The 12,042-nt window shown below is 44.0% G+C and overlaps 1 protein-coding gene across 7 annotated transcripts in view; it reads left to right on the plus strand.

The window, feature by feature from the left end:
• The window catches only part of ABCC2 (ATP binding cassette subfamily C member 2), a 69,955-nt gene that overhangs the window by 17,174 nt on the left and 40,739 nt on the right, over positions 1–12,042 (plus strand). For all 7 annotated transcript variants that reach the window (XR_945604.4, NM_000392.5, XM_047424598.1 and 4 more), the window contains 7 exons: positions 573–750; positions 4,206–4,460; positions 5,569–5,634; positions 7,571–7,708; positions 8,270–8,416; positions 10,321–10,405; positions 11,723–11,789. Coding sequence is in view for 6 of the 7 variants with exons in the window: in NM_000392.5 (NP_000383.2) it covers positions 573–750; positions 4,206–4,460; positions 5,569–5,634; positions 7,571–7,708; positions 8,270–8,416; positions 10,321–10,405; positions 11,723–11,789 (936 nt within the window). In the remaining variant the exon portion in view is untranslated. The remainder of the gene's footprint in view (positions 1–572; positions 751–4,205; positions 4,461–5,568; positions 5,635–7,570; positions 7,709–8,269; positions 8,417–10,320; positions 10,406–11,722; positions 11,790–12,042) is intronic.

Below are 12,042 nucleotides of genomic sequence, written 5' to 3' on the forward strand. Positions count from 1 at the left end.
GCAGTGACAGCTAGGTGGAGCATTTCTGTCATTATCCATTCTCACAGCCATGGGTTATCAACCCTAAGCTCTTGCTGCTCATCTCCAAGTAAAAGCCAGAACGCCAGGCTGGACATGGTGGCTCATGACTGTAATCTCAGCAGTTTGGGAGATTGAGGCAGGAAGATTGTTTCAGGCCAGGAGTTAGAAACCAGGCTGGTCAACATAACGAGACCCCATCTCTACAAAAGAAAATAGTTAGCTAGATGCGATGGCGTATGCCTGTAGACCCAGCTATTTAGGAGGCTGAGGTGGGAGGATCACCTAAGCCCAGGAGTTCGAGGCTTAATGAACTATGATCCTGCCACTGCACTCCAGCCTGGGCAACAGAGTGAGACCCTGTATCAAAAACAAAACAAAACAGAAAGGACACTGGTAAAACTGTAGACTTAGGTCTTTCAAAGGCTTTGGACAATTCTGGTCACTTTTGTTACCTACAGTGTAAAGATAGTGTAGTCTAGCTGGCTGTGCATGAGGAGAGAGGCATCCTTGGAGGCCTTATGGGTATAACTAACTTGGCTTTTCTCTGGCAGATTGCTGATCTCCTTTGCAAGTGACCGTGACACATATTTGTGGATTGGATATCTCTGTGCAATCCTCTTATTCACTGCGGCTCTCATTCAGTCTTTCTGCCTTCAGTGTTATTTCCAACTGTGCTTCAAGCTGGGTGTAAAAGTACGGACAGCTATCATGGCTTCTGTATATAAGAAGGTAAGCAGAATACGGCAGGTATCACCAAAGAAAATCCCCTCAGTAAATATGAGCATTGATTCCAAGGTTGAGGAAAATGTGATGGAAATGGTAACTTATCTCAACACTTAATGTTGACTGGCCATACAGCCTCCTTTAGATGTTTCTTTGGAAATTAGATTTTGAGAAGTGTGTTCACAGACAATGGGTGGAGAGGCCAGGAGGGAAAACGTACTCCCCAGGGAGAAGCCTGCAAGCTGTTCTGGTGCTCAGGATCCACCTTGCAGCCCTGAAGGCTTGGCTACCCATCCATCTCTTCCTGCCTCTCTTGACAAGGTGAAATGCCTTGGAAAAGAATATAAGGTCAGAAAAGAAGCTGGTGAAGGGTCAAACTCTTAAAACCACCAACATTTAACTCAAATACTTAATGAAATCCAGCTCAGAGACCTGGTGTATCCATCTCAAATTGCAGTCTTGCCGGAGCTCCACCTCCCCAGACCAAATTTCACCTAGCAACTTCTTTTTCTAACCTTTAGTGCTAACCTAAACCTCCTCTGTCTGACTTCTTTTTTCAGTTTGTAAATACATTCATGCTGATTACTGAGTTCTGCAGACCTGGAAGCTTTTTCATTTCCTTAAGATGATTTTGCTCATCTTCCCTCTGATACATTGTTTGTTGTTGTTGTTGTTTTGTTTTGTTTTGGTTGTTTTTGAGATGGAGTCTCGCTCTATCACCGAGGCTGGAGTGCAGTGGTGCAATCTTGGCTCACTGCAACCTCCATCTCCTGGGTTCAAGCGGTTCTCCTGCCTCAGCCTCCCAAGCAGCTGGGACTACAGGCACGTGCCACCACGCCCGGCTAATTTTTTGTATTTTTAGTAGAGATGGGGTTTCACCATGTTAGCCAGGATGGTCTCGATCTCCTGACGTCATGATCTGCCCACCTCAGCCTCCCAAAGTGCTGGGATTATAGGCATGAGCCAACGCGCCTGGCCGATACATTGTTTTTAATGGTTAACTTTCTCAAGGAAACTGTATGTTCCTCATGTCCTCCATACCAAGATGAAGTCCCATTTTGTTCCTTAAGAAATGAAAATACAGTAGTTATGATCAGTGACTACAGGCTTGAGGAGAAAATTCATCCAGGAGGAGATAGGTTCCAATCTTTTTATAAGTTGGAACACTAGTTGACTTTCTTCCTTTTTTTCTTCCATCACTGGAAAGTTCCATCATAGTAACTTCTCTATTACAGTTCCTACTTTTCTCCTTTGCTTTCCTCTCTAGAAACACCACTGTGTCTTTGTCTTCCCTGAGTAGATGTTGGTTCGTTGAGAGACAGTGGCAGATAATCCAAGTGTCTTTAAATCAGAAGTCTAGTCAAGTCCTTTGAACTCCCAGATACCCCCCAACTGGAATTTGCCTTCCTCCAGTTGATTTTTAAAATCTCCTTATTTCTTCTGGAGATACTGAGTTTCTGCTGGTTTACAAGTTATGAGGTCACTAACCAGCCTGTCTCAGCCATTGCTAGTAAAGTACACTTCTACAATTTTTTCATAATTGTGATTATTCATTCGCACTATTTTGGTTCTTAATATTCCAGGTTTTGCAACTATTACAATTAATAAAGAGATTTATAAAATAGAACCCTCAATGACACTTTTATTCAAATAAATATCGCTATTAGAAGAGTGGAAGAAAATTACTAATTTATATGTTTAGACAATGCTTCACTACTTATGAAACATTTTTTACATTCATTATCAATTCACAGGGCTATTGCCCTGTGAAATAAGTACATTATACCTATTTTACAGAGAAAAATCAGGCTTAGATAATTTCAATGCCTGCAAACACATAGCCAGGAGTTGTCCCCAGACAAGGGCTACTGGGACTGTATTTATTGAAAATAGAAATATATAGTGATTACCTTGAAGGGCAATTAGATGTTGTTAGTTGTTGTTTTTTTTTTTTTCCCCTCTTCCATACCAAAGGGAAGGCATAGCAGTGGGTTGATTCCTCTAGAACCTTGGTGGTCTAACATTTTAGAAAACTTTCTTCTTTTTACTGTACAGCCAAGAATCCTAATATGTTCCAAAGAATGTATTGGTGGATTAAGATGACAGTAATGCTTCTAGGAGGAGATGGAAGTAGTATGGGCCACTTGTAGCCTGTACACTGTCTTTGTGGGAATTACAAGGTGGCTCTCCTTCTTCTGGAAAGATGCAGTCTACTCCAGATGGTGCCTTGGTGGCATAGTGCAAGTTGGTTTCAGTGCTGTGGTACATTTGTGCAAGGCATTGTTGTAAGTGACAGACCTGTGGCTATCAGCCTCCTGACCTCTCTAACATGAGAACAGGAAGCCCATACTACAAGATCAGGCATCTAGATAGTGCCTGAAAAATCCTGACACGAAAGTCTTTTATTTTATTTTATTTATTTATTTTTCAAGACGGAGTCTCACTCTGTAGCCCAGGCTGGAGTGTAGTGGCATGATCTCGGCTCACTGCAACCTCCGCCTTCCAGGTTCTAGCAGTTCTCCTGCCTTAGCCTCCCGAGCAGCTGGGATTACAGGTTCCTGCCACCATGCCCGTCTAATTTGTGTACTTTTAGTAGAGATGGGGTTTCGCCATATTGGCCAGGCTGGTCTTGAACTCCTGACCTCAGGTGATCTGCCTGCCTCGTCCTTCCAAAGTGCTAGGATTACAGGCGTGAGCCACTGCACACAGCCTACAAAAGTGATTTTACTTCAAAGTTTGAAGTCTGAAGTTTTCCTCTTCATTCTAAATTCTCTGTCCTTCTTGGGAATGATTGCAACCTCTTCATAAGAGTATGACTCCAAATAACATTGCCACATCAAAAGCCTCTGAGGTCAAAATCAATACATGCTGGTTCCCTCCTTCCCTTCTCCCTTTCCTCCTTCCCTTCCTCCCTCTCTCCTTCCATCCATCCATCCCTCCTTTTCTTCCATCCCTCAGTATTTGATTCTCTACTATGTGCCACATAATATAGTAGTGAAATAGACAGATGTTGCCCTCATCCTCACAGAGTTTACATCTAGTGGAGAAACAGAAAAAAACAAAGTAATTATGGTTCATTGTGATGAATGTAATGACAAAGGTAAGCTCAGGATATTATGAGAGTACACAGGACGAATATCTAACCCCAACTTGGTAGTCACGGTGGTTTTCTTATAAGAAGTTACATCTCAGCTGACACCAAAGGATAAATAGGAGTTTTCTGGGCAAAGAAGTGTGTGGATGGGTAGAGTTGGAGGAAGGTGGGAATAAGAGGAAAGAGTGGTCAAGAATGAGAGAATACCATGTGTAAGATTTGGAGGCAAGAAGTCACAGTGCCTTGGAGAAGCTGTGTCCATATGGAGCACATCCTTCCATTGTAATCTCACTTCCTGAGCTTCCTCTTCTACTCCCTAGTATCCTTGGCTTTGTCCATGGGTCCTAATTTCAATCCTTATCTTTAGGCATTGACCCTATCCAACTTGGCCAGGAAGGAGTACACCGTTGGAGAAACAGTGAACCTGATGTCTGTGGATGCCCAGAAGCTCATGGATGTGACCAACTTCATGCACATGCTGTGGTCAAGTGTTCTACAGATTGTCTTATCTATCTTCTTCCTATGGAGAGAGTTGGGACCCTCAGTCTTAGCAGGTGTTGGGGTGATGGTGCTTGTAATCCCAATTAATGCGATACTGTCCACCAAGAGTAAGACCATTCAGGTAAAGAAAAAGTCACCCAGAAGAATATAAGCTTTCTTTAAAGTGTAAACCCTTTTTCTTACTCTACTCTAATTCTTAATGGGAGTTTGGGCAAGGCAAAGCTGGTGGAAGACTTTCTACCATCTCAATTGTACTTAGCTGTCTCTGAGTTCCCTTTTCATCTTCTGATGACTCTTAGGGTTTATATATACTCCTCTGCATTCATGTTAGAGGGAAGAGCCTGACTGGGGAAGGAAGGGCTACCCCAGAGATGCTGCACATAATTCTTCCATCTTGCTCTGCTGGGCTGCCCTAAGAACAGGGATTTGGGGCCCTGCTTCTCCATTATGGCAATCTAAACCAACCACAGAGAGCAGTCGCATGAGTGATCCAAATTTCAGCCTGAGCCTTGGCAATCACCCCGCTACCACCAGGTGGGAGGGCTCCGTGTGGACAGTGTCCTCAGTCCTGCCAGAAGTCACAGGTTGGGTGGGTGGACTTGACAGTGTATATGATTTATTCACTCATTTGTTTTGCATTCAAGTTACAAATAATTGTTTTGAAAATATTTCTTACATATCTTACTTCTCTGAGAACACAGCAGTGAGTTAGGGCTCCTGTTCTCATGGATCTTACATTCTACCTGGTAGGGTGGTGGAGAGACAGGCAATACACAAAGAAGAAAAATATCAGATCATGATAAGTATTATACAGAGAATTCAACAGGGTGATGAGATAGTGAGTGAGTGGGTGGTTATTTTCAATGAGTTCAGGGAAGGCCTCTTGGGGAGTGGACATTTAAGCTGAACTCTGAATGATACAAGCCTGACTGTAAAGGAGAAAGCCTTGGGAAGGGCAGGGAAAGAACAGCCTGGGAGGTGGGTACAGTCAGGCAAGGGCTATGGGACAGAAACAAGCTTGGAACAAGCAAGGATCAGAAAGAAGATGGGTGCGGCAGGAGCAGAGTGGGCAAAGAGGAGAGTGGAGGGAGGTGAATCCCATCACTGGGCACCTCAAGTTCTTACTAAGTGACAGCCACAAAGTAGCAGTGAGGCCTGATGTCTGCAGCAAACCTGAGCCCTCTCTCATGGAAGCGTATATTGTTTTTCTTTTGCTTTTTTCCTGGCAGGTCAAAAATATGAAGAATAAAGACAAACGTTTAAAGATCATGAATGAGATTCTTAGTGGAATCAAGGTGAGAATCTGAGCGTAGGTGGCTCTCTGTGGGTAAGGACAGAAGCAGTGGCTCTCTTGGCCTTTGCAAACCCTGGTAGAGGTGATGGATTCCTGCTTCTGGGCCGGTTGTGTCACATGACTTTTGTTTCATGTCCTCCTGTCCCTCTCAGGTCCTCCGTTGAACCCCAATTTCTATTTATTCACCCTAAATAGCTTGTTTTGTTTTGACACTTTACTGTAGAAGTGTTTAAACATGTAGAAAAGTAGAGACTATCATGAACCCCTACAAACTTTTCACCCAGCTCCAGGAATTATCAGCATGACCTAACTAGTTTCATCTATAAACCCACACCCCTCACACTTGCTAGATTATTTTAAAGCAAATCTCAGAGATCTTGTCATTTCATTCATAAATGCTGTGTATGTAGCTCTAAAAGAAGGATTTATTTTAAAAATATAGCCACAATACCAGTATCATACCTACAAAAAAAATTAACATTCTTTGATACCATCAAAGTTCTCCAGTTGCCTCATATGTGCCTTTTGTTTGTTTTGCTGTTGGTTAGATTGAATAAGGACCCAAAAAATGTCCATGCATGATATTTAATTGATAGTGATTTTAATCTACTACAGTCTCTCTCTCTCTGTCTGTGTGTGTGTGTGTGTGTGTGTGTGTGTGTGTGTCTTGGTCATTCCAAAAAAACTAGGTTATTTGTCCTATTTCCTGTATTTCCTGTAAATTGATAGTTAGATCTAAAGGTTTGATTGATTTATATTTGATTTGGGGGCGGGAGTACAAGGTTGCTTTCAAGTGGTGCTGTGTGCTTCCCAAACTGCAGCGATGGTAACTTGAGCGGGCCCAGGTGCTGTCAGCCTGATCCATCCCTTACAAGGTTTCCTGCTAGTCTTTCACTAGAGCAGTGGTTTGTGATGCTGGCAGCACATTAGAATCACCTGAGAAATTTGAAGTTTGTAAAACCCACTGAGGCTGGGAGCCTACTTCAAACCATTGAAATTGGACTCTGGGAGTGAGGCCCAGACATGTGTATTTTTTTAAGTTCCCTAGATGATTCTAATATGCCACCAAGGTGAAAAACACTATTGTAAGAATTTTATGATCATTGCCTAGGTCTGTTATTTCATTAGGAATTGCAAAAGAGTGAAATTTTTAAATTCTGTTATTCCCTTGACATTGATTAGCTGGAATTTTATGAAGAAGAATTATCTTTCATCAACTTGTTGGTTACCCTAAAATGAAGTTTGTATGGGATAGACAGAAAAAATGCTTGCTTCTTTCCCTCTATTTGCCAGCTTTCATGATAATGCATTTCATCCTCCAGAGGTGACCAATAAGTTCTTTTAACTAAATATTGTTTTGAATTAATACATCTTAACATTATCCTAAACTTCTTAAAAATGAAACAGAGCCCCCTTTTAACTCCTTGTTAATTCTCCACACAGAGCTCTGACATGTCCTTCTGTGAATGTGGCAAAACTAAAAGAGAGAGCTGGTTTTGAATCTCAGCTCTACCACTGGGTAGCTTAACTTGCCAAAAGTTTGGCAAGGTTCCCTTGCCTCTCTCAACTTGTTTCCTTATAGTTTAAATGAAGATAATAACTCTACAAATGTAAGGTGACTAACTCAACTCAATTTGCCCAGAACTTTTTAAGTCTTAAGACTGGAAGGCCTGTGTCCTAGGCAGCCCTTTAGTCCCAGGCAAACTGGAACAGTTAGTCATACTAAGGTTGTTATAAAGTGAGATAATGTATTTAAAATGCTTTGTACATAGTAGGTTGTCAACAAATACAAGCTACCTTTCTGTAATCATACTTTATAATCTGGATTTCTATTCCCCACATTTTGGGGACTATATCTTAAAACATGGGTGGATCAGATACACCTGGTGCCCTTTCAGGGGCAATCATGTGAGCTGTATTTTTTTTCAACTTATTAGATCCTGAAATATTTTGCCTGGGAACCTTCATTCAGAGACCAAGTACAAAACCTCCGGAAGAAAGAGCTCAAGAACCTGCTGGCCTTTAGTCAACTACAGTGTGTAGTAATATTCGTCTTCCAGTTAACTCCAGTCCTGGTGAGTAGCAGAGGGGTCCATGGGCTGCGTATTCACCTGGACCTGCATCAGCTTCCTGAAGAGGAAGTTCACTTTTGATAGACTAGCTGGCATCTCTAGGCCTGACCGCAAGATCCAGGGGACTTGTCCCTCTCACCGCCCCATGCCACTTTTCCTCCTTTGTACCATACCCCCAGCTCTAGTTTCACCTTCGTGTACTGTACGATGGTCTGGCTCCCAGAGCAACTTTTCAGGATGCACAGCAAGAATGTGGTATCAGGAAGGATTGGCTTAGGAGGCTTTCTTGTCTTCTTTGGGAGGTGGTGTAGGTCTATAGTGGAAGGAACACTGATATAGGATCCAGGAGACCTGAGCTCTGGTCCTAGTAATCCATTAATTGACTTTGTGACCTTGGAGAAGATATTTCCTCCTCTCCTGGGCTCAGTTTTCTCATCTGTAACATGGGGAGGCTGGATGATCCTTAAGGCGCCTTCAACTCTGATATATGGTGTTCCTGAAACTTAGCACAATGCTGCTTGGTCCCTTTTAGGAATAAATTGCTCATGACCTTGCCCTTTCCAGGTATCTGTGGTCACATTTTCTGTTTATGTCCTGGTGGATAGCAACAATATTTTGGATGCACAAAAGGCCTTCACCTCCATTACCCTCTTCAATATCCTGCGCTTTCCCCTGAGCATGCTTCCCATGATGATCTCCTCCATGCTCCAGGTAGGTCGGCATTCTCACTGCTAACTCCCTGTCTCTGGTTAAAAGCCTTGGAGTCCAGAATGACTGGCTATCACATCCCATGTCTAACTTTTGCTGGTAAACTTTCAAGAGAGAGATCTGTTTGGTCTCTGGAGACCAATGGTTTGACCTTAATAAAATCATGAGTTTTCTGAGCCCCAGTTTATCTAACTATAAAATGAGGATAATCATACCAATCTCATCTACCTCACAGGGAGACAATCTTGTGAAAGCATTTAGTGAGATTATTATGTTTAGTCCTAGTACTGGGAACATTTCCCAGCCCAGTTTCTCTCATATTTCTCCAAGGCTCTTGAGGTGTTGAGATAGCATTAGGCAAATATGGCCCAAAGGGAGAAGAGAGACCCTCCCTTTGCATAAACCCATGTGTTGGTCAAACCAAATGCAAATTGAGAGCCTCAAGCTATCAGAAAATGAGTCTGGAGTTCAGGAAACCTTGGATGGACCAGAGGGAATACCTGGGTTCTGAAAAACTGAGCATAGTCACTGATATGCGACAAGTACCAGATCTGCAGAGGAAGGTCACCGGACAGGCAGCAGACTGATGAGAAGGCCTGAATGACAGGAGTGTGGTGACTTGCATTTATCCCCTAAGTGTCTGGCTTCAGAGAGCTCAGACCATGGGAAAGAGAAGGCCTCCCTGTCCTGGAGGGTGTAAAGAAAAGCTGGCAGATTTGGCAGGTAAAGAAGCAACAGGATCTTTTTAGATACAATTTATTGCATAAATAGCAAAAGCAAGATCAGCAAAGGTATCAGCTCCCTGCATTCCTGGTCCTCAGGATGACACTGAATCAAAAAGGGTCAGATGGTGGCTGGGCTCACACCTGTAATCCCAACACTTTGGAAGGCTGAGGCAGGCATATCACCTGAGGTTAGGAGTTTGAGACCAGCCTGGCCAACATGGTGAAACCCCATCTCTACTAAAGAAACAAAAATTAGCCAGGCATGGTGGCACACACCTGTAGTCCCAGCTACTCGAGAGGCTGAGGCACGAGAATCACTTGAACCTGGGAGGTGGAGGTTGCAGTGAGCCAAGATTGCACCCTTACACTCCAGCCTGGGCGACAGAGTGAGACTCCATCTCAAAACAAAACAAAACGAATCAAAACAAAAGGGTCAGATGGCGATGCAATGTGAGCAGTGGGGTACTCTGTTTTTGAGGAGCTGATCCATGCAGCAGTTAAGTGGTTCTATAGCCTGCTTCTGTACCCTAAGGAGGGAACAGGCAGAAAGCCTAAGACTTCATCAGAGCCTGGGTGGCAATGAAAAACCATCTCATGACAGCCTCTTTGGAAGAGAGGGAAGTAGGTGAGAAACATCCTTGTAGAAGTGCCTCGAAATCTTCTCAAGTTCTCAAGTTCCAGGGACTGCAGGGTATTCTGCCAACACTTACCTCACCTGCCATTTAAGCTTCGGCTATCTGGCCTATGTGGAAGTGTGCAGGGTCCCCCTGATGCTATAGCCAGTTCCTCTTTAGAGGCTCCCAGGAGTGGCTTAGTTAGGATGCTGGGTGGGCATCAGGGCATAGACTTAGTTAAATAAGAGAAAGCCAGGGGCCTAGTTACCAGAACCAGATAGAAGTTAATTTTTTGTCTTAGAAGGCAGGAGGTAGTTTCTGGAATTAGGGCCGAAGACTGGAGAGAGACAGCAGAAGAGTTGAACTCCATGAGTTTGCTCAAGGACTGAAATAGAGCATCCACTTCCATCTGTCTATGGTGGGATAGCTTCCGGGGCTGAGTTCGGTGGAGATTAGGAGATGCCAGCTGTGGCAAATAGAAAATCATGGACTAACGACAAAGTCAAAATCTCTCTGCTTGTGCTCGTTACTGACTTTAATTCTTGAGATCCTTTGTGTCCTTCTCTAGGCCAGTGTTTCCACAGAGCGGCTAGAGAAGTACTTGGGAGGGGATGACTTGGACACATCTGCCATTCGACATGACTGCAATTTTGGTAAATAAATTTGGAAGTTGCTTCCCAAACTTATTCGCAGTACTGGTGCCAGAATTTTGATAATACAAGAGCTTAGTAGCAGCAAACTGAGAGAGAGTGTGGAGATTTGTCTTGAGCCTATGCTTGCATAAGATACAAACTGTTCTTACTTGAATTATGTTTACACTTAGAGCAGATTGCTCAACTAGATTGCTAAGTAAAGCTGGGCCAGCTCTTCTGAGGATAAGCAGGGAATCCTGCAAAAGATCCAGAAAGCAGAAGTCAGGATAGAGCCAAGTGTGTGGGATTGGGAAGGTAGCCTGGAGTGAAAGAATACTCAGATTCTGAAGGTTTAAAGATTGGGGGCCAGCCATGGCCAGAGTGGGCATAGGACTGGAATCCATAGTGGGGAGGATTTATATATGGAGGTGGAATTCATACAAGGGGACTGGGCAACAGAGGGCCTGAGAGTATACCCAGAGTATCCATAGGTCAGGAATCTGGGCTACCAGTAGGCTTGGGAGTTCTGAATAAAAAAGGACTTTAGCCGGGTGCGGTGGCTCATGCCTGTAATCCCAGCATTTTGGAAGGCCGAGGTGGGTGGATCACCTGAGGTCAGGAGTTCGAGACAAGCCTGACCAACATGGAGAAACCCTGTCTCTACTAAAAACACAAAATTAGCTGAGTGTGGTGGTGCATGCCTGTAATCCCAGCTACTCAGGAGGCTGAGGCAGGAGAATCACTTGAACCTGGGAGGCAGAGGTTGTGGTGAGCTGAGATTGCGCCATTGCACTCCAGCCTAGGCAACAAGAGTGAAACTCCATCTCAAAAAAAAAAAGAAAAGGACTTTAGGCTGGATGCAGTGTCTCATACCTGTAATCCTCACCCTTTGGGAGGCTGAGATGGGCAGATTGCTTGAGTCCAAGAGTTCGAGACTAGCCTGGGTGACATGGTGAAACCCTGTCTCTACTAAAAATACAAAAATTAGCGGGGCATGGTGGTGCATGCCTGTAGTCCCAGCTACCTGGAGGCTGAGGTCGGAGAATCTCTTGAGCCCGGAAAGTCAAGGCGGCAGTCAGCCAAGATTGCACCACTGCACTCCATCCTGGGTGACAAAGTGAGACCATGACTCAAAAAAAAAAAAAGGACTTCATATGCAGGCCACTTCTGGTCTCATGGTCTCATTCTAGGAGATTTCATTCACCTCCTGTTAGCGTAGGAGCCAGCACTTAGCAGAAACAATCCTAGGAGCTGATGGAGAAAGCGGAGAGAGACACGTGAGGGCAGACAGTCACGTGGGGACCTACATTGGACTAAAAGAGGGCTTTTTCTCAACAGACAAAGCCATGCAGTTTTCTGAGGCCTCCTTTACCTGGGAACATGATTCGGAAGCCACAGTCCGAGAGTGAGTTGCCTTCTTTCCATCCTAATGTTCTTTAGCATTCTCACTGCCTGGCCTATTCTCAGAAAATTCCATGTAATAGAATGCATGGGGAAATGAGCTATGTGCATGTCTTCGGTTAGATACTAGTGCAGGATAAACCCCTGGAGAGATGAGCTGAAAGCAAAGGTTCTCAGCCCCTTCCCCTGATAACTGCATTTGCCATGCTGCTTTCCTACTATGGGGCCATGAATATCCAGCTGTGATCCCATGAAGA

This window comes from Homo sapiens, chromosome 10 (genome assembly GCF_000001405.40).
Source record: "Homo sapiens chromosome 10, GRCh38.p14 Primary Assembly".
Classification (NCBI taxonomy): domain Eukaryota; kingdom Metazoa; phylum Chordata; class Mammalia; order Primates; family Hominidae; genus Homo; species Homo sapiens.